The sequence below is a fragment of the Homo sapiens genome, chromosome X (genome assembly GCF_000001405.40).
Source record: "Homo sapiens chromosome X, GRCh38.p14 Primary Assembly".
In the NCBI taxonomy this organism is placed as follows: Eukaryota; Metazoa; Chordata; class Mammalia; order Primates; family Hominidae; genus Homo; species Homo sapiens.
This window is the reverse complement of record NC_000023.11, coordinates 37,997,831-38,024,023: the sequence shown is the minus strand read 5'-3', so window position 1 is coordinate 38,024,023 and position 26,193 is coordinate 37,997,831. Positions and strand designations below refer to the sequence as shown.

Genomic DNA, 26,193 nt, shown 5'->3' with positions numbered 1-26,193 from the left:
TCCACTGTGAATTTTCACAGAGCTCTCAGTTTGGAAAAAGGTATTAGGTTGGTGCAAAAGTAATTGCAGTTTTTGCTATTACTTTTAATGGTAAAAACTGCAATTACTTTTACACCAACCTAATATTTAAGATCACTGTTTATTTTCTTGGCATTGTGTATTTTGATATTTTTAAAGAGAAGACTACTTCTACCTTTAAAAATGCTGGCTAAGAGAAAGCCTTAATAAAAATTTCAAAAGAGAAAGATTTGAAAAATAAGTTATAAGATAAAGTTTGTAATAGTCTAAAGTTAGAAACTGTTAGAATCTATTAGAGTTAGAAGCTCTCGAAGCTGGAAAAGAGAGCAATACCGATGTTCAATTTTAAAATGAGGCATTTAAAATAAATATATTGACATGGAAAATATCTAAGTTATATTGCGAGCTGAAAATAGACAAGATAATTATGCTTTTTAATGCAAATGCTTTTAAAACAATGCAGTAGATATATGCATGTACATAATAAATGTAAATGCATAATAAAAGGCACAGGATAATACATATTGATAATGAATCAGGTTGCATATGAAGATGAGAGTTGGATTGTTAGGGGTCAGAGAAGGGATGAAAAGGGACTTATTTCCATATTGTTTATTATTTTGGATGTATTCATGTAACCATATATTATGTCTTTAAAAAATTTTCAAGAACCAATAAGGTGTGGTGACTGACTAGAGTAAGAAGCCAAAGAAAGAAAGAGGCTAAAAATAATGTTAAGAATTGAATCCTAGAAGAAAACAATAGGGAAGATGGAGAATGTGCTGGCTTTTGTGGGAAATAATGGATTTGGGTTTCAGACATGCTGTGAATTAGGTGACACCACCGTGGTTCATCAGCATCATAGTTTTGTGCCTCCAATCTGGCTCTTCTATATGCAATTCCAAAATACAAATTGATAATTGTTGCTTTTATACTGAATACCCTTTGATGTCTTCCCTTTGCTCTTTAAGAGTTCAAGTTGTTTAATATGGTTTACAAAACCCTTCATGATTTGTCCCTTGCTGATCTCTCTCTCTCGTATCTATCCTCTAACCACACTCAAAAGTTCATTCCTCTAAAAAAGCCATAATCTTCCTCACCTCCAGATCTTCCTATTTGTAAGACTCTGCCTGGGATACTTCCCCCATTTCTCCATCTCCTAATTCCTAAGTATCCACAGGGATCTACTTAAATGGCTGACTCCTAGTTTAGCTTAGCTATCTATGATAAACTGAATAATGGCTCCCAGAGAAGTCCACATCCTTATCCCCAGAACCTGTGAATATGTTACCTTAGATGGCAAAACTTTGCAGATGTGATTACGTGAAAGGTCTTGAGATAAAGAGATTAGCCTGGATTAGATGGGTGATCCCAATGTAATCACAATGATCCTTACAAGAGGGAGGTAGTAGAGTTAAAGTCAGAAAAGCAGGTGTGACGACATAAGCAGAGGCTGAGGTGATGGGCTTTGAAGTTGGAGGAACAGCCACAAGCCAAGGAATGCAGATGGCCTCTAGAAGCTGGAAAAGACAAGGAAACAGATTCTCCTGCAGGCTCCAGAAGAAATGCAACCCTGCTAACACCATGATTTTAGTCTCCCAAGACTCATTTTGGACTTTTAACCTTCAGAACTGTAAGATAATACATTGTATTGTTTTAAGACAATATGTTTGTGGTGATTGGCTACAGCAGCAATTGGAAACTCATAGTATCTATCCAATACATTTTCATACTTCTCTTACAGTAACACTGTATCAGTTGGGATAGGCTAATACAGCTTTATTCAAAGTTTGGGTTGCAAACCAGTGCAGGTCTGTAAACTTACTGGTTTGCAATTATATAAGTAAAGAAATTAAGAATAAGCATTTAGAAATTTTTATAGTAATTTGACAGAGTAATTTTAAATCTGTTGAATCTGATGAAAATTTGTACTTGAATGTTTATGTATTTCATGTCTCATTTATCTGCTAATTTACTTAAATTGTATTTTGCAAAAATACTATTCTATCCAGGTTGAAAATAAAAGTAACAAACAACCTGATCCTTCATCACAGACATTTTGAGCAGTACTGGGGTAGACTATGTTGTGACACAAATAACTCGCAAATTGCAACAGCTTGTAACAGCACAGGTTTATTTCATATTTCTTGGCCATGCTATATATCCCTCAAGAATCCAGGCTGTTTAGGGAGCTACCATCTTGAACACTGCCAATTGCCACACCAGAGGGAAAAAAGAGTTCTGAAAGGTTTCATAGTAGGAATTAAATGTCCTGGCCTGGAAGTGAAAAACATTATTTCTACTTACAACTCCTTAAACAGAACTGATGGTCACTTAGCCCTACCCAATTACAAGGGGGCCAGTAAATGGTATCCTGCCATCTGCCTACAAGAGGAAGAAATCGTAAATATTTGGTGAACAATGCTAAGGACTATGCCAAGCACTCATCATGCTGATTTAAAATGCTGATTTTAACCAACATGCATTGGTTTTCCCTGCTAATGTCTAAGCTCTGTGGGATATCTCGTTTTGTCTTGATCAGCCCTGTATTCCTAACACCTCACAACTCCTGGCACCATAGTAGGTATTTGAAAATATTGCCAAATGAATAAATTTATGAATTAAATGCAAAATAAGACATTTGAGAAGTGATGCCTAAAATGAAAATTGGAATATAGCCCCTCACCACAGGGCCTGACAAGCAAAACTAAAGACTCCTCAAAGGGCTTCTGCAATACTTGTATACATCCCATTATTTGCAGTAGAGATTCATAAACATTGTTGGGAACAGTTGATCCCTTAGATAATCAGTGACAACTATAGGCTCTCTACCTCAAAAATATACATATACATTCTAATGACAAAGGGAGGTAATTTCAGGGGTTTATAAACTGTGGTCACCCAAGGGCTTATGGTCCACAGGGTAAGCACTGCTAATACAACATCTTCAGAATAAAAGACTGACTTTGTGTACCCTCTCAAAGTTGGTGTTGGAGAAAGTGTGGGGTAGAGGAAAGGGTATGGGCTTTGGAAACTAATGGAATTAAAATTCTACTCCCTGAGATAATAACATAGATGTGCTACTTTGTCTTTGCATCTCAGTTTATTCATCTGTTAAATGGGCATATTAATATCTACTTCCTGGGTTTGAAGAATATATCATTTGAATATTAAAATGAGTTAATGTATAAAAAGTGTCTAGCACAATGCCTGGCATATAACAGATGCTCAGAAAATTTAGACCCCTCCATCGTTTCTATTCTCAATGAAGTTAAGCAATACGTCATTAAAATGCATCAGTCCAACACAAACCTCCATTCCCTTTGATTCACAAAATACCCAGAGGTCTCTGGCTTCCTAGACTTTCTATTAAGAATTTATAAATCTTAGCAATTCCTTAGAAACATCATAATTTTTAATTAATACCATTATTAATAATACTAATAGTCTTTTTATATGTGATGGCATGCTTGAAGGCTCACAATACAAAGGCAGTGAAAAAAACTCAGGATACAAAATTACTTATGCAGTATGGTCCCAATTATATTAAAAGAAATATATATATATATATATATATATATATATATATATATATATGCACACACATATATGTATTATAGAAGAAAGAATGAGAAAAAATAAGCCAAAATATTAAGTCTATTTCTGGATAGTTATAAATGTATTTTAATATCTTCTTTATAATTTTCTTTATATGTTTTTACAATGAATACATGTTACATATAAAATCAGTTAAAAAAATACAGCAAATGGCATTTCTGTCAAAAATATCTTATAGCCATATTACCTCTGCTTCATATGTCATGATGCACAATGCATATATCCACTGATTATCAATAATTATCATGCTAGGCTACAACACAGGCAAAGAACAGTATGAGTGTCATATAGCTTTGAAGTTAATACATCTAGTTCCTAAAGTGATGTTTAATTCAAAAAGACATGTTCGGTCTGAAGAAAATATAAAACCAAAGAACAGATAGAATGAGTTATAGAGCATATAAATGTTCGTGCAGTAAACACGTATAGAATCATGTGTCAGAAACTATGTTGGGCCAGGCATTGTGGCTCAGGTCTGTAATCCCAGCTCTTTGGGAGGCCGAAGCGGGCGGATCACCTGAGCTCAGGAGTTCGAAACCAGCCTGGGCAATATAATGAGCTCTCATCTCTGCTATAAATAAAAAGTTAGTTGGGCATGGTGGCACACACCTGTAGTCCCAGCTACTTGGGAGGCTGAGGCACCCGGGCTGAGGCACCCTCCACGTGGGAGGTGGAGGGTGCAGTGAGCCAAGAACACGCCACTGCACTCCAGCCTGGGCGACAGAGTGAGACTTTGTCTCAAACAAACAAACAAACAAATAAAAAACAAAAAAAGAAACTGTGCTGGATCTAGGGGATACATTCATGAAGAATGCATAGGTTCTGTTTTCAAGGGGCTTCTCTATTTTCTATTATTTTCTAGTGGAGACAAGCATAAACATAAAATCACAGTTTCATAAATCCCAATTTTGGCTTTGAGAACACAAAGGAAAAAACAATTAGGAAGAAAAAAGTGGTCATTCTAGGTTGTAGAGACAGCAAATGTGAAAAAGTCATAAGAACACACAACTAGTCCAGAAGAAATAGTGACTAACTCCAGGTCTGGGGTCTGGGTTAATATTGGAAAGCTAAGAGAAAGGGGGATGTCAGAGTGGGAGGAATTTGGCATCCAAACAAAGAATATGGACTTTATCCAGTGTTTTTCAAACTGTATCTTCAGGAATGTTTTCTTAGGAAACACAGCGAAAGAGGCTGAGTGGCCAAGCCTGTGGCGCCGACGACTGCTTCAAACAGAGCAGCTCCGTTTTCATCTGTTCTATAAGTTAGATTTCCTGGTAGGATTTTATTTGAAGAAAGAATTCCATGACCTTAAGAAGCCTGAAAACTGTTCTCATGCCATCAAGCTGTTGAAGCTTTAAAGCCAAGGAACAGCGCAATCATATTTGAATTTTTTATTTGTTTTTTGAAAGACCAGCACTCAGTGATTGGATGAAAGACAGGGGAAAGGTCAGGTAGACAAAATGAGGAGGCTCTTGCAGAAGTGCCAGGGAGAGATTAGGAACTAAAGCTGTGTAGTGGGAAGGAAAATAAGAGTCACTTTTGGGACGTTTTAGAATAATCTCAATAAGATCCAGTGACCTCTTCGATGTGGGTGGTATGGAAGAGAAAAGAGAATGACTCTGAGGTTTCCAGCATGGGGAACTGCAAAGGTTTTTAAATTTTAGTGTGCATAAGAATACCTAAGTATATTGTTAAAAATAGATTTCTGGGTGTCTATCTCCAGAGAGCCTGATTCAGTAACACGGGGGTAAAGCCTAGAAATGTTGATGATAATACTGTTCACAGTGATGGAGAGTACAAGACAAAAAACGTTGAAAGAGAAAAAAAAATAATTAATTGCAATTTAGATATGTTGAGGTCCGGATACTTATGGTGCAACAACAAAGGTACTTATGATGCAACAACAAAGACCTGTCCAGAAAGGCATTTAGAATAGGAAACTTCCCATAAACTGTTTATAGCTTATCAGATGTCTATACTAGAGGTATTTAATTGGGAATCATTGGTGCCTCGATGGTGGATGGTGGTTGATGCTGTGCAAGCAAGTGAGATTACCAGGAAGAGAAGTGAAAGGGGCAAAAGATAGAATCATGAGAAGCAACAATATTTAAAGAATGGACAGAGTGTGGCAGGCCAGGTCTCACTAACGCAGGCCTCCATAACAACTGTTTCAGCACTGACTGAGTGGTGAAGTTAAATATTAAAAGCTGATAGAGCCAGTGCCCTTATACAAAGGCTGGAAGGTAACAAAAGCCCACCAAGAGTTTTGCCCAGGCCTTTCCTGGGCCTTGAAGTATGGCAAGATAATGAAGGAATTCTTAACAGGACCCATTTAGGATAAAACAAACTTTACTGGGGGTCTGAAGAAACGCCCCAGACCTCCACAAACAAGTTTATTGGGGGTCTGAAGGAACTCCCCAGACCTCCATGATTTAGCAGGAGACAAGATAAGGGTAATCACCGCCGGCACCTGGACCCATTTAGATTAAGTAAATTTACTGAGGCTCCAGAGGAAGGTCTTTAGGAGTCAGATCTTAGTTATAGAATAGAAGAAGTAAATCACTTATGTCTTTAGATGAATGCACACTTACATGTAGACATATAGCTTAGAAGGTATATAAGCTCTTTGTCAAAAATATCTCCAGACCAACTCAAAATTACAAAGTCAAAAAACTTTGTAATTTTGAGTTGGTCTGGAGATATTTTTCAGCCATAGCCGGTTACAGAAATAAACTTCCTTCTTTCCCAGCTTATCTGAATCTCGTTATCGGGCCATGAGAATAAGCAGCCTGATCTTCGGTTTGGTCCAGGGACAAGAGGAATAAATGAGATGATGAAAGAGACTGAAGAGGGATGATCAACAGAATGGGAGGAGCAGTTAGTTAAGTCTAATGAACTGGGAGTCAAGTATATCACACAGAGTCAATGATGTAGGTCATTGCTAAGTTCACATTTCAACTAAACAATCAAGTAAACTGTTAACAACACCTCCAGCTGCAAGAAGTATCACACTAAATCCAGAATCTCTGAAAAATGCACCATATCAATACATTTGGCCTAATCCAGTGTTATATTACATCTTCCTTGGCCTAACATTCTAGGTTTCTAATGATATAAATTAGTAAATCCTGGAATTATTTTGGTGCATAATCTAATTCCATCCAGGTCAGACTTTGTACTTGTTCCCCTGGAGCATGCTGAAAGCTGAACACAGTTGCGGGCCTTGTAGCAATGGGCATTGGTTGGAAGAAGGAAGTGGGTTTTGAGAATGGGCAACCTCTCGCATCAAAAAACAACAACAACAACAACAACAAAATTGGCTGAAAAATCAACCATTAGTTAGGAGATCTAAAGTCATAGACTAAGACATAAGGAAAAAATAGTTCAAGATGGATGTCTAAGAGGATGCTCTGCAGTAGAGGCTTATGGTGCAGGAGACCACCTGAAGCCTGGAGAATTTTGAAGTCATGCATATTCAGGCATTAACATAGCATAGATCATTTTTGCAGCATTCAAAGTGAGTTAGTGTTGGAAAATAAGCAGAAATGCCTTCATACATATGAAATGCATGGTCAGACAGCTCTTGAAAGTTCAATGTTCTGAACAAACACCTTAATGTAAGTAGCTTGAAGGTGAGTGTAAGAAGATAAAATATTCTACCTGTACGTTTGGTGAACCATCATCCAAACCCAATTAACCAAGCTCTCTATATGGATTGCAGACTACTCTTAGGGAATCTTGCTTCCAAGATCATAGAGACATGACCTAACTGAAAATGCATGAAGGTCTTTTGTGGACACCCACCCATGCTATCACCCAGGAGAGCAGCTTGAAGCTCTAGGGAGATGTATTTTTAAACTAAAAGTGAAGTTGACCCTCATCTGCCCAGATTTCTCCTCTAGAGGAGGAGTTATACATAAATATAGCCAGCTTGCTGCCCCTCATACTTGGTTAGGATTCCTATAAGTCTGATTGATAATGTCATGTCTGCCACATGTAGCAAGGAGCTGTGGAGAGTAAGATGAACAACATTTCTGCTCCTTAAAGGTGGCTTTCCCCCATGGTCTATATTAGAGGTTGGCAAACTTTTTCTATTAAGGAACAATTAGTAAATATTTTAGACTTTTTGCGCCAAGAGCCAAAACCATAGCTATTTTGTGGATAAGTATGCATCAATCAAGAAAATAAATGTCTGCCAATATTTTACCGATGACATTAAAAATATAACAATAATAATTGAGTGCAGTTATTTCATAGCATAGATCTACTAAAGAGAAGAATGGAATTTTAGGGCACATAACATCTAACTTAAAGTGAGCATTCCTATCATTAAAATTAATGATAGTAGGCCTAGCGCATTCCAGAGCTACTGAATTTGAATCTAAATTTTAACAAGGTCCCCCAGTGATTTGTACCTTAAAGTTCAAGGCCATTCTGGTCTAGAGTTTCTTAATACATTTTTGGCTTATATTTTTATCACTTTAGAGAAGATAGTGAAAGCTGTGGATCCTAGAAAAAGTTCACAAATCATTTGAAGTTCATTCAAGACTCCTACAAGGTCTGTGGCTTTGAAATTAAGACCCCAGGGATTCTGTGGACATGCCCGCCCAGAGCGAAAGTGTTCTGAAATTAGATTGTGGTGATGGCTAAACGCACTGTGAATAGACTAAAAAAAAAAAAACATTGAATTGTACACTTCAAATGGGTGAATTGTACAGTATGTACATTATATCTCACAAAAGCTGCTTTTCAAAAAAACAGAATCTCTTGAGTTTGTGTTCCATGGATTTTTTTTAACGTCCTATGGGGTTCCAATGGACACCTCAAGTGGAGAATTGCAAAGAGTCAGGTTTTGGAGTCAGGAAGCTCTGCATTCAAATCCTAGCTTTGGCAATTACTATGTTACAGAAACTAAGTTACTTAACCTCTCTGAACCTTGGTTTCTTTTCATACAGGGTGGAGATAATAATAGTACTAACTTCACAGGGTTTTGAGGAGGATCAAAAGGAACTTCTAATGCAAAATTCCTGGAAGATTCCTTGTCACATGCACTTTTTCATGTGAAATGGTGGGATTCCTCAGATATCAAATGCAAAGCCAAAAATAATTACATGCTTCGCATTATTCAAGTCGTAATTAATCACACATGTCATATTATCCATGTTGTACTATATTTTCCACTTAAATGTATATTTCCTGCTCCATTATTATACTTGCCTTAATGCTTTTTCCTTATGAGTCATGGTAATAATGATAGTGAACACTCAGCACTTATATACAAGTTTCAGGCCCTGTTATGAATTCTTGATTTACATATATGAACAGTACAATCTTTACATTGTGAAAGGAAAATAAATCTCTGGACCCCAAAATCACTAAGCCGAAGGGAAAAGTCAAGCTGGGAACTGCATTGGGCAAACCTGCCTCCCATTCTATTCCTAAATAAGATACCTACAAAGATAAAAAAGCTACATACCTCCCTCACAATTTTTCTCACAGGGAAATTTCTTGTGGACAAAGGACAGGGAGAACTCAAAGTCATCCCTCTGTCACAGAAGACAAATGTGTATCTGATTGCTTCCTTTGCCCTGTTTTTTCACTAAGCCAGACTAAGGCATAAGTGACTATTCCTGTAAATTGTGCTTATCAAAATATCAAAAGAATGCAACCATTTGTCTCCTATCTACCTGTGACCTGGAAGCCCCCTCCCTGCTTAGAGTTGTCCCGCCTTTCTTGACTGAACCAATGTTCATCTTACCTATACTGATTGATGTCTCACGGCTCCCTAAAATGTATAAAACCAAGCTGTGTCCCAATCACCTTGGGCACATGTCGTCAGGACCTCCTGAGGCTGTATCACTGGCACATCCATAATCTTGGCAAAATAAACTTTGTAAATTGATTGAGACCTGTCTCAGATACCTTTTGGTTTACAATATCAATTATTTGATTTAGATACTTTCACTATTCCCATATTACAGGTAGGAAAACCAAGGCAGAGGGAGGTTAAGTAACTTGTCCAGTGTTACACAGCTTGTAAGTGGTGAAGCTGGATTCTGACTAAGGGGTCTGACTCTATTGACTGTGCTCTTGACCACTATAATATACTGTAGAATTAAATATACATACATATAACATATATGTACACACACAACAATATTATATATAACATAATATACAACATAACACACAGGTGTGTGTGTGTGTTTAATTTTGTATTGGTCAAATTTATACCAGTGCCCAGCACTCCTGCTTTGGAGGGTACACACTTGTACATACCAAAAGAGTTTTATTATGACAGTGTAGAGAGGATGTAGGATATGACATCAGAGCAGATTGCCCTGACTAAAGAAAGAAATAAAAGCTGAAACAGTAGTCAGAGTGTGGAGAGGGTAGAGAGGAAAATGAGATTGGGGAGGTCCTGATGCTACCTGGCTCCTGTGAGCAGGAATGGGGGAGCTAAGCTAGGAGAGGAGGAGTTGGTGGTGGTTGAGGGACTAGGAGGACTGAGGGGGCCAGTAGATCTAGGGGCCTTGAGTAATGATGAGGGGCCCAAAGAATGCAGGGTCCCCTTAAGAAAAGATCATGGAGAGGAAACCAATCAGTGAGATGCTGGAGATGGGGTGAGGTCAGTGACAGGTTCGCAGATACCAGTATAGATTGAGTGAGCCTGAGAATCAGGAAGAAAGGTAAAAATTGGTGCAGCAGGAAAAAATACCCCAGGAAGATGCCTTTGGAAGTTACTTAAGCTGACCAAAGTGACTCTGGTACAAAGCAGGAACTCTGGTTTAAATCTTGGCTCTAAAATTTCTGAGAAACATGACTGAACCTCTGTATGCCTTGGTTACATAGAAAACACTTGAATAGTTCTTGAGTCACGGTAAATCCTCAGAAAGTGTGAGCCTTTGGCATTATCATTAGGAGCAGTACTGAACCTACATTTCATGTTTGCTGACCCAGGTTCAACATTTTTCCCAGTATAAGCAGTGAAAGATTATCACTAGATGATATTCTCACTGTTCAGGAACCTACTCTTTAGGTCTGAGTTGAGCCAATATTTAGTTATATCCTATTGTGCTTAAGTATAAAGCCATACATATGACTATTATTCACAAGAACAATAAGAGTCAGATGGGAATTCACTTGAAAGAAAATCAATAGCTGTTTGGTTGTTGTGTATAACTGATTTAGAAATAACCTTCCTGTGTTTGGAGCTCAAACTCTGTAACAGTCAACAAAAATAATTAGATGGCAGCTGTGAGTAGTTCAAAGCAAATTAAATTCTTCCTTCTTGAACATGGCTAATGCAAACAGGACATCCCAATCTATATTTTTTCCATATTAATGTCTGGACTTCCTTGTATTTAAGATCAATAGTATTCTCCCTGTGCTGGTCTCTCAATTAGTGGGAAGTGATTCTTCATCACAAAATGGTTTTTTAGTACATATCTAGTTCTAGTCAAAATATGCAACTTAAAAATTATACATTTGTTTGTGGCCACAGACATCTTTGGATATACCATTATCTGTTGAAAGTTGGGAAAAATGCCTATTTTGCAATAGGCTCTTACTGCTTTGTTTGAAAACTGATCTTTGATATAATGTCACTTGATTTAATGAAATCAATTTCAAAAATTTTAATCATATACTGATTTTAATGTAACTTCACACCAGGGAGAGAAGACTATTGTTGTACATAAATAGCTCTTAGGGGGATATATTAATGGATTTGTCTATACTCTGCTATTTGTATTAAGTAAACCTGTTTGATATGATCACTCTTGTTCTGTGTTTACAAAGTGGGCTGTTGCTGAACTTTCGTTTTTATAATCCAGATAAAAGTATATTTGGATTTAAAGTTTATATTTGAACCTGGAACATCATTATCTGATGGCTTCTTTCCAAGTTTGGTTTCTCTATTGCACACCCCCACGTCCCACCCCAACTCAACTATATTTTCTGGTAAAGTCTACCACTTCCATTCTTAGTAAACATTATCAATGTTAAATGGTTGTTTAAATTATATTATTTGGTCTTGAGGATTTTACTTGCTTTAGAATGATATGTATCTTAGAGTTGTTTTGTATTCATTTTCTTGGTTTCTTTCCAAGTCCTGATATTCTCTCGGAAATATTTTTTGACTGCACAACACCAAAACAAAAATGCCGCTGAAGTCTATTTACATGAACCAGACGTGTTCTTATTCATTTAAATGAATCAGACATGTTCTTATTGTAGGAACAGAGTGTTTCCTGGCATTCTGTTAGAAATATTAAATCAAATTAGCCTGGATAAGTCGACTGTTACAAAAATTGGAAACTGCTAAATTAAACTTTAACAAGAGTTACAAATGGCACTGGGCCTTCTTGGAAATGAAAAAAGTTATTAAGTGTTCGGTGAAGGTAAATTTGATTTTAATATTCTTATTCAGTGAAGAAGAAAATGAACTAAAAGCCTATTAAGTTATTTTTGTAGCTAACGCTTAGAGAAAAGTAAAAAAAAAAAATCCCACTAAACTACGGTGAGAGAACATTTAAATGAACAAGAAGTAGTTAAAATAGGAAATAGAAAACAAACATAGCAACTCCAAAAATTGAGCCTGAACTTTTGAAATAGTTAGCAAAGACAAAGATGGAAACTCACAGATACCCTAGAAAATATCCCCACGGGCAGCAGCAGCAGTTAAGTACACGGGTACAACATCAGTTAAGTACAGGGCAAAACAATATAATATACTCTCTTTTTTTTTTTTTTGAGACGGAGTCTCGCTCTTTTGCCCAGGCTGGAGTGCAGTGGCGCGATCTTGGCTCACTGCAAACTCCGCCTCCTGGGTTCACGCCATTCTCCTGCCTCAGTCTCCCGAGTAGCTGAGACTATAGGCGGCAGCCACCGCGCCCGGCTAATTTTTTGTATTTTTTTTAGTAGAGACGGGGTTTCACCATGTTAGCCAGGATGGTCTCGATCTCCTGACCTCGTGATCCACCCGCCTCGGCCTCCCAAAGTGCTGGGATTACAGGCGTGAGCCACCGCGCCCGGCCAGCAGTATAACATACTCTCTAGGAAACAGAGAGCATCAGTATTTGAGGCCTTTGTTTGATGCTCAAATACAGAATAATGGATGAGAAAAACCAGACTCTTCTTGCACAGCATTACTGGACATTGGATTACTTAGTATAAATCTTATGTAAGTAATTTTTATCAATTATGAAAAATATCAAACATTTATTACCACTTGTCAAGGAAAACTGGAGATGCAACATGTAACAGCAGTCTAGGACTCCAGAGCATGCCCTTTTAACCAGATTCTAAAACACAGAGTTGCTGATATGATAGCACTCAGTGCTTGAGAAAATTGCCTCTGGTGCTGGGCTGCTTGGATTTGAAATCTGGTCCAATTACCAATTAACCTCTATGATCCTCAGTTTATTCTTATGTAAATGGTAGTGGCGATGATGTTGATGATGATGATGTTCATCTCATGAGGTTCTTGTGAAGATTAAATGAGTTAAAAAATTTAAGGCACTTAGAACAACCCTTAGAATATTCTAAGTATTATTATTATTTTTCTTTCTGACATGAAACAATCAAACAAACTAATCTCCAAGTGTATTAGTAAAAATACACACTTTGGGCAATAATCCTATAAATTGTGAGGAATGACATTTCTAAGGGCCCTTGTCCTCTGAAATGCAATAAGCATATGACTGTTAAAGAGACGGATTTCTAGAATATAGAGGACAGTTGAGTCAGCTTTCTCAACATTTGGACATTTATTTGGATACTGACATTTTGATTCCATGATATACTGACATATTTCACAACACAAAAGGGCAATCTAACATTTGTTCTTCTTTAACAAAAAGAAAATGTGTCTGAAAGACTGTTATCCCCATTTTTGTGCCCCGAATGGTCGCTCAGAACGTTCATACCTCCATCATTTGCTCAGTTCTGCCCCAAATGGCAAGATCATTCTTTTTTTTATCTGAATCATGAGGGATTCATCTAGGTACATGTGTCCAGTCTGTAGCTCTGTGCTTGCATCCTTGCTGTACCTAATCCCCATCTGGTGGCTCAGTTCTAATACCTGGCTTTCACCTCGTAACCACACTTAGCCTCATAGGCCCCTACCACCTCTTCCACATTTGCAGAGCACTTACTATGAGCTAGGCACTATTTTAAGTATTTTACATTTACTAAACGTTCTAATCCTACAACACTCTTATCAGTAGAAACTATTGTTATCCCCAATTGACAGTGAGGAAACTCAGCAACAGGAAAGCTAACTAAGTTTTCTCAATTTCATGCAGCTGGTAAGTAGCAGAGCTGAGATTCAAACTCAGGTCATCTGACTGCAGAGTCAACACTCTCAACCCCTGCACAATATGATTTCAATAGTTAAGACCTGGGGTTTTGGTCTCTGCTACTGAGTTATTCTTCCAGCAACAAATCTTACTTTAATATCTATATAGTTCTTCATAGTTCAAAATGATTTCCTCTCCATGACTATATTTGTTCCTGTGGCCACTATATGAGATAGAATGAGTCTGAGGAAACTGTGGTTCACAGAGAGTGCACAGGGGGCAGTGAATGGTAGAATCAAAACTTAAACCTGGCTCTTTGGCTATGTTCTTTTCACTACCCCAATGATTCTGGGGCTTAGAAAAAGAAGATATCCATGAGGTGTGGACTTTCTGATGGAGATGGGGCCTGACCAAAACCTTGAATTGTAGGTAGCTCTTAGACTGAGGGAAAAAAGGATGAGAAAATAGAGAATAAAAGAAAAAAATAACAGAAAAGGGAGATGAGAGAGGATGGCTTCTAGATACATTATAATTAAAGAAATGAATGGACTTGGTAGTGGTTTGGATATTGAGAGCAAAGGAAAAGTTAGAAGCAAAATTGACTCCAAGATTTCAAATGTGAGAAACCAAGAGATCATTAATGCCATTCACAGAAACAAATGAAATGAAAGGGGAAGTGGTTTGACATAAAAGCTGTGAGTTTGGCTACAATCATGATGAATGTCGAGTGACCCTTGGACATACAAGTGGGAAAATGTATAGCAGATGGAAAAGATAAGATGTGGAAATGGAAGTCTTGGAGGTATCCACTTAGAGGTGATATTTAAAACTAAGGGTTGATAAGAAGTTATAGAGAAAGGCAAAACGTAATAGGTTATAGGCTAAATAAATGCTAAACCTTTGAGGGAAACCCAAACTTAAGGAAGAGAAAAGGAAAAATAGACAAGAAGGGAAGTGGTAGAAAAGCAGTTGAATAAATAGTATAGAGTCATGGACAAGAAGGAAAGAGAAAATTTAAGAAGTAGGAATTGATCATGTGTGTCACATAGAGCCAAGGGGATGAATAAAATGAGAATTTGGAAAAGTATTCCTTATAGCCCTTATCACACTTGTAATGAATTATTTGGGTGAGTTAACACCCTTCCTAACTAGACTGGAGATATATAAAGGCAGACTTAAGTGTTCCCTACTGTAACTTCAGTGCTCAGCAATGCCTGATGCATAGCTGTCACTAAATAAATATTTATTGAATGGATGAATGAATACATAAATAAATGAATGTACTTGAATTTCCTAGCAGCACTACAGGTGACCCTTGGAAGTACAGTGTCAATAAAGTGATGAAGATTGATTTTATGTCATAGGGGAATTTGAAAGAAAGATTTTAAAAGAGAAAGTGAGGCAGTAGGGTATGTTTTATTAATCACTTCTTAGAGAAATGTTTTTGTTAAAAGGAGAGAGAGACCAGATCAAGTGAATTTTTTATCCCAGTACACTACATGTTTATTATATTTTGTTCCTCTAGGAGCTCCTCCCTATTTTAGATAATCTTTCAGAACCTAAGGTAACCACAGCGGTTGCTAACTCTGCAAGTAACAGAAGCACCATCTGCTTTTTTGCTGTCTTCAGTAAAATCAAAAGTCCATGGGCTAAGCAAGATGGAAGATGTAGAGAAACAGAGGTCAAAGGAAATGATGATACTCCCCACAGAAAGAGATAACCAGGAATGGAACGAGGTTGGAGAGAAGTTTTGTGAAATCATGGAAAATGTGTGAATGTATATAGAGGGGTGAGAGAGAAAGAGGATGAGAGACCACAGACAAGTAAGATATGAATGTACAAAAGCATATTTACAAGTAGATTTTAAGTAGAATGTATTAAAGATGATTAGCTAAGTGCTTACGCAGGATGGCAAAATAGTCATAAGATACATCATCATATAATAGAGCTTAAGTAAAACGAACTGCTCATTTTACATATTAAAGCTACATTTCCTTTTCCTTCCCTTAACATACTAAATAATAATAAGGAAGTAATTTCAACAAAAATACTAAATGGGCCTCCAAAAGAAAAGAGGTAGAAGCTCAATAATTTTATTCACTAAACCTATCAGAAGACTTTAACAAATCTGAATAAATAGAAGGATAACATAGCTAATACCCAAACTTAAAATAGCAAAGAATTTCAGGAAATCATAAATACATAGAAAAAGCATGATTCAACAACTAAAAGAGCAGTAAGACATTTTCTCAGTTATTAGTTGCCCACATGTAAATATGCATGTATATGTGGGTATGTACATATATATACTGAGGGATGCAAGGACCAATTTAAGGATTTCACTAGAGTCCAAACAAATGGCTTCATGCATTTAAGACCTAGGGTATGAATTGTAACACTTTTGTGTGTAAGCTGTTGTCCAAATAACATATAAACAACTTATTACAAAATGAAAAAATTATATACTTAATTCCTGTGTTTAAAATACTTTTTAAGGAGGCTACTACTGAAGTAGTACTTCTAAATGCATTATTACATGTAAACAATATTTTATACTATTTTGAATGCTATAAATATATAACTCCTGTTTTCTCCAGGCATATGCTTTTCTCCAGGCATACACATATACTTGGAGCAAAGAGAAGTTATATATTAATAGTTGTAAAATTACGTTTTTCATTTAAATGAGGAAGACAGTATTGGTAATTAAAACAATCTACATTAAGGAGAAATTTTTTAAACCCTGATGCATCTTTTCAGAGTATATTAATGTTCACAGTTAATATCGCATTTCTGTAAGCTGTTACAGTATCATATTCATGTTGAAATTATTCCAGGTTTTTCAGACTTTATTAATCCTTCTACTGAATTTATATCCATACTGGATATTTGTCCATATCAAAAATGGAACTGAATGTAAAAACAATTAAATAATTCCAAATGAAACATCTAAATTTTCTAATAAATGAAAGAAATTCAGAGCAAAAGGACAATCTATGTTATATAGAGATGTGAGAGGTTTATATAGAGAGGTGTGAGAGATTTATAGCAAAATGATGCAACACTTCTGCTGTGAATTTGATTTTTTTATGTCACTAGAATGCATATTTGTTCCTGGAGGCACTCACTCTTCAGTAGAACCTAGTGCAATGCTTCACTTCATAGATAGAATCAAGTGTTAATAACAAAAAGATACTTATATTTCTCTCCTCAATCCATTAAACTCATAGCTACCAATGGCCAAAATGTCCCTTCTGTACATATTTCTCCCTTTTTTACTGTAAAATACAATATCAAATGGTGGAAGGAGCTGTTTTCTTCCTGACCAGCAAATCCCACTACTCCCCTACCACACACAAAATACAGAAATTAAGAAATCAGATATCACACTGGAGATCCCTAAACGCATTAGTCTTACCTTAATCTGAAGGTTAGAATGTTTTTATGGGCTTATTTTTCTCTCAAACACACAAACTGTAGAATGCTGGACTACTTGACCCTTGTGAACTACTTGGAGCAGGAACTTGAAAAACCAGCCTCTCATATTCCCACAATCTATTTACACATTGAACACACCCAGTAGCACAGAGTAATGTTTATCTGTTGCAGACAGCTATTTCAAGAAGAAGGCAGTATCTCTAAAGCTGAGCTTTCAAAAAGGAATGTCTCTGTTGATCAGCAGGGGAAAGGTAACAGGTTTCATCTAAAGCACATTTTAAACATTTTTTGACATGAGGTATTTTTTACACCAGTGTTTTAAAGGTGATTCACTCTTTTAATATTCTTCTACCCCTGAAAATCTCTATTCTTAAAAAACCTGGGAGAAACGTGATAACAATGAACACATATGTGCCAGGCACTGTTGTAAGTGCTTTACATATATCCTCTCCAATAATTCTCCAAATGTGTTAGGTGTATAATATTATTATCCCCATATTACAAATGAACAAACTAAGTAGTCTGCCCACAGTCACCCAGTTAGTAAGTACTGGAGTCAAAAGTTAAATCCAGGCACTCCATAACCATAGTCCAGGTATCTAATCATAGCACTGTGCTATGTATGTATGACTTTTAGAAGACAAATGTGTAACAGTATGTGATTGCTCAGCTGAACATTAGAGAATGAGTGAGGTTTTCTCAGTGCTTGTATGGTACTGAATCTTTAGTTGAAGTAAGTGAAATTTTTGTTAAGATCACTTCTGCCAAGGTGATTACCCATTTATGTTACCATAGCCAGGTCCCTTTTAGCTACAGTGGGGAACCCCAAAGGTGGTGTCCTGGAGAATCGAAAACGTGAGTCTAGCTTGAAGTACCAAGAGAGTTATTACTTTCTTATGTTAAAAAACTCATACAAAAGAAGTCAATACAACACCTTTAAAAAGTTTAGAGATACATGTTTTGTTCCATTTTTTTCAGATTGGATGATTACTTTTGATCTGTCTTCAAGCTCATTTGATGCTAGCCATCTCCAAACTAATGTGAGCCCATCTAGTGTGTTATTAATTTCAGTTACTATAATTTTTTAAGCTCTAAAATTTCCATGTGGTTATTTTTATAGTTTCCATTTCTCTGCTGAAATTCACTATCTGTACATTTATAAAGATCATATTTTCCTTTCATTCTTTGAACCTATTTTCTGTTTGTTCTTTGAATACATAATAATTGATTTAGTCTTTTTCTATGAAGTTTAACAACTGGACATTTTTGGGTCTGTTTCTACTGATTTTATGACAATAGGTGATATTTTCTTGTTTCTTTGCATGTTGAATTTTTTTATTGCATATTGGACAATGGGGATCATATAGTGTAAAGACTCTGCTATCTCCCTCTGAGGAGTATTAATATTTGTTCTATTAATATTGGCATTTCCATAGAATTGGTTTGGTTTTGCTAATGTAGTTATGCAGAAAGTCTAAGGTCCTTTCCAAGCCTGATGAATTTGGGAGATCAACCTACAAATTCTGTCTCCCCTGCAGATCTTGTAAGGGCTGAGTTTTAGGATTTTTTATTTGTAATTTTTATGGAAAAATAGTAGGTGTATATATTTATGAGTTACAGAGATATTTTGATACAGGCTTGCAATATATAAAGATCACATCAGGGTAAATGGGGTATCCATAGCCTCAAGCAATTATCCTTTGTGTTACAAACAATACAATCATACTGTCTTCATTATTTTAAAATGCACAATTAAATTATTATTTTTACTATAGTCACCCTGTTGTACTAAGAAATACTATGTCTTATTCATTCTTTCTATTTTTGTACCCATTAATCCTCCCTACTTCCCCCCAGCACCTCACTACCCTTCCCAGCCTCTGGTAACCATATTTCTACTCTCTATCTCCATGAGTTCAATTATTTTCATTTTCAGCTCCCACAAGTAAGTGAGAATATGCAAAATTTTTTTTCTGTGTCTGGCTTATTTGACTTAACATAATGACCTTCAGTTCCATCCATGTTGTTGCAAACGACAGAATCTCATTCTTCTTTATAGATGGTAGCACTCTATTGTGTATATGTACCACAGTTTCTTTATCCATTCATCTGTTGATGGACATTTATATTGCTTCCAAATTTTGTCTATTGTAAATAGTGCTGCAGTAAACATGGGAGTGCAGATATCTCTTGAATATACTGATTTCCTTTCTTTTGGGTATATACTCAGGAGTGGGATTGCTGGATCATATGGTAGCTCTATTTTGAATTTTTTGAGGAACCTACAAACGGTTCTCCATGCGATTGTACTATTTAAATCTAAGACCTCAAACTATGAAACAACAAAAACAAAACATTGGGAAACCTCTCTAGCACATTTGACTGGGCAAGGATTTATTGAGTAATACCCCACAAGCACAGGCAACCAAAACAAACAGTGACAAATGGGATCACATCAAGTTAAGAAGCTCCTGCATGGCAAGGAAACAATCAACAAAGTGAAGAGCCAACCTACAGAGCAGGAGAAAATATTTGCAAACTACCAATCTGACAAGGGATTAATAACCAGAATATATAAGGAGCTCGAATAACTCTATAGGGAAAAATATAATGATCTGATTTAAAAACTGGCAGGGGATCTCAATAGACATTTCTCAAAAGAAGACATACAAATGGCAAAAAGGCATATGAAAAGGTGCTAAATATCAGTGATCATCAGAGAAATGCAAATCAAAACTACAATGAGATGTCATCTTACTCCAGTTAAAATGGCTTATACCCAAAAGAGAAGCAATAACAAATGCTGGTGAGGATTTGGAGAAAAGGGAACACTTGTACACTGTTGGTGTGAATACAAATTAGTACAACCACTCTAGAGAACAGTTTGAAGGTTCCTTTAAAAACTCAAAATATGAACTTAAAGTAGTTTTTTCCAATTCTGTGAAGAAAGTCATTGGTAGCTTGATGGGGATGGCATTGAATCTATAAATTACCTTGGGCAATATGGACATTTTCACGATATATATTCTTCCTACCCATGAGCATGGAATGTTCTTCCATTTGTTTGTATCCTCTTTTATTTCATTGAGCAGTGGTTTGTAGTTCTCCTTGAAGAGGTCCTTCACGTCCCTTGTAAGTTGGATTCCTAGGTATTTTATTCTCTTTGAAGCAATTGTGAATGGGAGTTCACTCAGGATTTGGCTCTCTGTTTGTCTGTTATTGGTGTATAAAAATGCTTGTGATTTTTGTACATTGATTTTGTATCCTGAGACTTTGCTGAAGTTGCCTATCAGCTTAAGGAGATTGCCAAGTCAATCCTAAGCCAAAAGAACAACACTGGAGGTATCACGCTACCTGACTTCAAACTATACTACAAGGCTACAGTAACCAAAACAGCATGGTACTGGTACCAAAACAGACATATAGACCAATGGAACAGAACAGAGCCCTCAGAAATAATACCGCATATCTACAACTATCTGATCTTTGACAAACCTGAGAAAAACAAGCAATGGGGAAAGGATTCCCTATTTGATAAATGGTGCTGGGAAAACTGGCTAGCCATATGTAGAAAGCTGAAACTGGATCCCTTCCTTGCACCTTATACAAAAATTAATTCAAGATGGATTAAAGACTTAAATGTTAGACCTAAAACCATAAAAACCCTAGAAGAAAAACTAGGCAATACCATTCAGGACATAGGCATGGGCAAGGACTTCATGTCTAAAACACCAAAAGCAATGGCAACAAAAGACAAAATTGACAAATGGGATCTCATTAAACTAAAGAGTTTCTGCACAGCAAAAGAAAACTACCATCAGAGTGAACAGGCAACCTACAGAATGGGAGAAAATTTTTGCAATCTACTCATCTGACAAAGGGCTAATATCCAGAATCTACAATGAACTCAAACAAATTTACAAGAAAAAAGACAAACAACCCCATCAAAAAGTGGGCAAAGGATATGAACAGACACGTCTCAAAAGAAGACATTTATGCAGCCAAAAGACAGATGAAAAAATGCTCATCATCACTGGCCATCACAGAAATGCAAATCAAAACCACAATGAGATACCATCTCACACCAGTTAGAATGGCGATCATCCAAAAGTCAGGAAACAACAGGTGCTGGAGAGGATGTGGAGAAATAGGAACACTTTTACACTGTTGGTGGGACTGTTAACTAGTTCAACCATTGTGGAAGTCAGTGTGGCGATTCCTCAGGGATCTAGAGTAGAAATACCATTTGACCCAGCCATCCCATTACTGGATATATACCCAAAGGATTATAAATCATGCTGCTATAAAGACACATGCACACGTATGTTTATTGCAGCACTATTCACAATAGCAAAGACTTGGAACCAACCCAACTGTCCAACAATGTTAGACTGGATTAAGAAAATGTGGCACATATACACCATGGAATACTATGCAGCCATAAAAACCAATGAGTTGATGTCCTTTGTAGGGACATGGATGAAGCTGGAAACCATCATTCTCAGCAAACTATTGCAAGGACAAAAAACCAAACACCACATGTTCTCACTCATAGGTGGGAATTGAACAATGAGAACACATGGACACAGGAAGGGGAACATCACACTCTGGGGACTGTTGTGGGGTGGGGGGAGTGGGGAGGGATAGCATTAGGAGATATACCTAATGTTAAATGAAGAGTTAATGGGTGCAGCACACCAGCATGGCACATGTATACATATGTAACAAACCTGCACATTGTGCACATGTACCCTAAAACTTAAAGTATAGTAAAAAATATATATATTTAAAAAAACTCAAAATAGAGCTACTATATGATCCAACAATCCCACTGCTCGGTATATAACTAAAAGAAAGGAAATCAGTATATCCAAGAGATATCTGCACTCCCATATTTATTGCAGCACCATTTATAATAGACAAGATTTGAAAACAACCTATATGTCCATCAACAGATGGATAGAGAAAATGTGGTACATATACACAATGGAGCACTACCAAGCCATAAAGAAGAATGAGATCCTATCATTTGCAACAACATGGAAGAAACTGGAGGTCATTATGTTAAGTGAAATAGGCCAGGCACAGAAAGACAAATTTCACATGTTCTCACATATTTGTGGGAACTAAAAATTGAAATATTTGAACTCGTGAGAACAGAGGGTAGAAAGATGTTTACCAGAGGCCAGGAAGGGTAGTAGGGTGCTGGAGGGGAAGTTGGGAGGGTTAATGGGTGCAAAAAATAGAAAGAATAAATAAGACATTAATTCTTTCTAGTTTTTCTATGCTAGTATTTGCTAGCACAACAGTGACTATAGTCCAAAATAATTTAATTGTACATTTTAAATTAACAAAGAAACTATAACTGGATTGTTTATAACACAAAGGATAAATGCTTGAGGTCATGGATACCCCATTTACCCTGATGTGATGATTACGTATTGAAGACCTGCATCAAAATATCTCATGTTGATATGGGAGGAGGGCAGGGAAGTGCTGGGTAGGGGAGGGTGTGGTCTGTGGCTAGGGCTCCACCCCTGGGCCTGTGACCAGGGACCTAGGTGAGGACAGACATTTTTTCCTGCCCAAATGTTGCATTTCCCAAGACCACGCTGGCCCACCACACCCCTATCCTGTGCTTATAAAAACCCCAAGATCTTCGCGGGCAGAGAAACAAGCAGCTGGACATCAAGAGGAGCACGCTGGCAGAGCGCACCGACAGGCACTGGCAGATGCTGGCAGGTTGGCAGGCCATTGACCAGCAAAACAATGCGGAGTTCGGTTGGGGCGGTCGGAGAAGAGCCCGGCCACTGAGCGGGCCTGGATCCAGGGGAAAACCACGTTCCCACTCCATCTCCCTTCTGGCTTCGCTATCTGCTGAGAGCTACTTCCACTCAATAAAACCTCGCACTCGTTCTCCAAGCCCATGTGTGATCCGATTCTTCCAGTACACCAAGGCAAGAAACCCTGGGATACAGAAAGCCCTCTGTCCTTGCGATAAGGCAGTGGGTCTAATTGAGCTGACTAACACGAGCTACCTACAGATGGCTAAACTGAAAGAGCATACTGTAACACATGCCTACTGAGGCTTCATCTGTAAACATTCACCTTTAGATACCGCCATGGGGTCAGAGCCCCACAACCTACCAGTCTGCATGCTCCCGCTAGGGGTTTGAGCAGCAGGGCACTGAAGAAGTGAGCCACACGTCCATCACATGCCCTGTGAGGGGGACAAGGGAACTTTTCCCATTTCTATGTAACCCATAAATACATACACCTACTATGTACCCATAAAATTTTTCAAAAAATAGACTTTTGGGCTTGGGCTCATCATATCACCCCATAACCACATTTAAGACAATGTCAGTGGATAGAGTCAGAATTTCCAGAAAACCTTAACTGAGAAGCATTTGTGTTCACAACACAGTTACACAACGTCCAGTGGAACAAGACCTAGGTTTTCGAAGTCTAAGGACCTGCATTATAAAATCAGCCCTTTTTTCCCAACCTGTCTGGGCTTCCCCAAATAAAACACAAGTGAAAGTTCTCGAGAGTGAGTTGTTAAGTGAGAGTGTTGTCAAGACTCACTATCAAGAATGAGACCTCACAAGTTGTTGTGAGTGCTTTCCTAGAAATCCAAGCGACCCCAACATCTTGGCATTGAACACATGAGCTTCACTTTCCCAGAAGAGAACATTAAGCACCTTCTATCTTGAGCGCTATTTCTAAGGATAAAGGAGAGGAAAGAGCTTCAACAACAGGTGGGATGACCAGCTCTCATCCCTGCTTTGACCTTGAAAGAGCTGATTATCATCTTTGGGCCACAGTGACCTCAGCTGTAAAATGGAGAACTTAGAAAAAAAGTCTGGTCCCCTTTTACCCATTTTCAGTAGAGATTCTTTCTTAGGAAAAGAGCATAGTCTGATAACTGTATACCTCAAGAAGACCTTTGAAATAATTTTTCCAACCTCATTTTACAGCCACAGAAGCTGATGGTCCCCCAAGTAAATTCTACTGAGGGGACCAGAAGTCAGCTCTTCTGCCCCTCCTTTCACTATTTTCCCCTTTCTTGTCATGAAGACTCCCCTTCACAGTTGAGCTGATGAATTATTTTCATCCTACATTTCAGAATGCAAATAACTCCCAACCATGGTATGTAACCTGCCTCCTTGATGCTAACTGGTTTCCTTTACTAGAGTTTGCTTTAATAAGTTAGAGATATTTCCCTACAGTTATTCTAGAACATTAAGAGGATCAAATCTTCTACTCTCATAAAGTCCTTTGGAAGACACACATTAAGAAAATGCCAAATGCAGATTCTATTTATTGCCCTTCATTACATTTAAAATCATACTCCTAAAATAATAGAATACAATAAATTCACCATTCCAGTGTTACACACACTGTGATTTTAGGAACAGTGTACGGCTACAAAGTTTTTATTACTGATTGGCTGCAACAGGTACAGGAATTGAATACCACCATTCAGGATCCTTTATAGAAATCTGTCTTCGTCACACATTTAAGTGAGTGAAGTCATCTTATTGGACAGGGTGTATACCAGTCTGACTGTTGTTAAACTCCAGTGATGATTCAATGGTGAGCCATACAGTAGTCATGCACAATAGGACCACATATCATCTCTAAATTAAATAGAACATGAAAAATAGAAAATAGTGGCTTTACACCATAAATAATCTGAGGAGTGCTGCACTGCACTATAGTAATTAGAGAAGGAATCCTTCTGAACATTAGAGTTGGAGATTTAAATTACAGTGAGAATAATGAACTCATCTATAGAAGCCAGACAGGTACTTTAAGGAAAGGGATGAGTCAGTAATCGGATACAATAGGGAAGAGTAAGTGTTATGAGATCTTTAGGGTGTCGTTTTTCTGGCCAGAAATCTCTGTGGCAGGTGGCACCTTTGTCTGAGTTGTGCTCGGTCCTGCTGGGCTCGCTGTGCCCACTCAGCCTGGCAGGCTGTGCTTGGCTCATGTTACCAGCCTGGGTCCCACACCTGTCAAGGGGGAGTAAGGTGTGGAACGGCAAGGGGTGTGTGAGGAAGCGTGGGGTTCAGCCACTGCACACAGTCAGACATGCCAGCTGCTGCAACAGGGCAGGCAGGCAGTTCCAGATGCCAGAATAGGTGCCGGCTCTCTGTGAGGCTGCCACTGGACCAGGCGCACGACAAGCAGCTTCCACAGCTGGCACCGGGAAACATGGTGGCACCTGGAAGTTTGGAGATGCCAGTGAACCACAGAGCCCCAAAGAGGGAGTGACAGCCCTTGCTCAAGTAGTTCTCAGGTCTGGGCTCCCCGAAGGGCCAAAACTCTTCTCTCTTTCTCTTTGCCTGCAACATGGCGAGCAAGGGGCATGTTTCAACCTGTTTGTGTTAAAGCTCTTTTAGCCCCACCATTTGACGGGTCCTGAGTTCTTGTCTTGTGACCAGGAAGAATGAGGTACACCAACAAGTGGAGGGTGAGAAAGATGAAGGGGAGCTTTACTGAGCAATAGAATAGCTTAGTCTCCCACAGGGGGCAGCTCCTTTCTGCAGCAAGGGTGTCCTGATGAGTGTTCAGCTCCTAGCAGAGAGGAGACCTTGGAGTGGGAAGCTCCTCTCTGTAGGCAGGTCTTCCTGTCATCTTCCCAGCTGTCAGCAGAGAGGAGGACTTGGGGTGGCTAGCTCCTCTCTGCAGCTGGTGGTCCCAACATTTGTTCAGCTCTGGCTGAGTCCTCTGGCTTTTAAGGGCCTCAGAGGGGAGGAAGTGTATGCTGACTGGTCCACGGGTGGCCATGGGTGGGCCCAGATAAAGCACA

General features: G+C 38.0%; 1 protein-coding gene and 1 non-coding gene across 27 annotated transcripts in view; one reads left to right on the top strand and one right to left on the bottom strand.

The window, feature by feature from the left end:
- The window catches only part of SYTL5 (synaptotagmin like 5), a 239,906-nt gene that overhangs the window by 104,797 nt on the left and 108,916 nt on the right, over window positions 1-26,193 (bottom strand). For 5 of the 26 annotated variants that reach the window (XM_047442662.1, XM_047442668.1, XM_047442661.1 and 2 more), the window contains exon 1: window positions 17,356-17,471. The exons of the other annotated variants lie outside the window; for them this stretch is intronic. The gene's annotated coding sequence lies outside the window, so the exon portion shown is untranslated. Of the gene's footprint in view, window positions 1-17,355; window positions 17,472-26,193 lie in introns of those variants that run through there. 26 annotated transcript variants of the gene reach the window in all.
- On the top strand, window positions 38-129 carry MIR548AJ2 (microRNA 548aj-2). The gene has a single exon (NR_039674.1). It is a non-coding gene; the product is annotated as a microRNA 548aj-2 (primary transcript).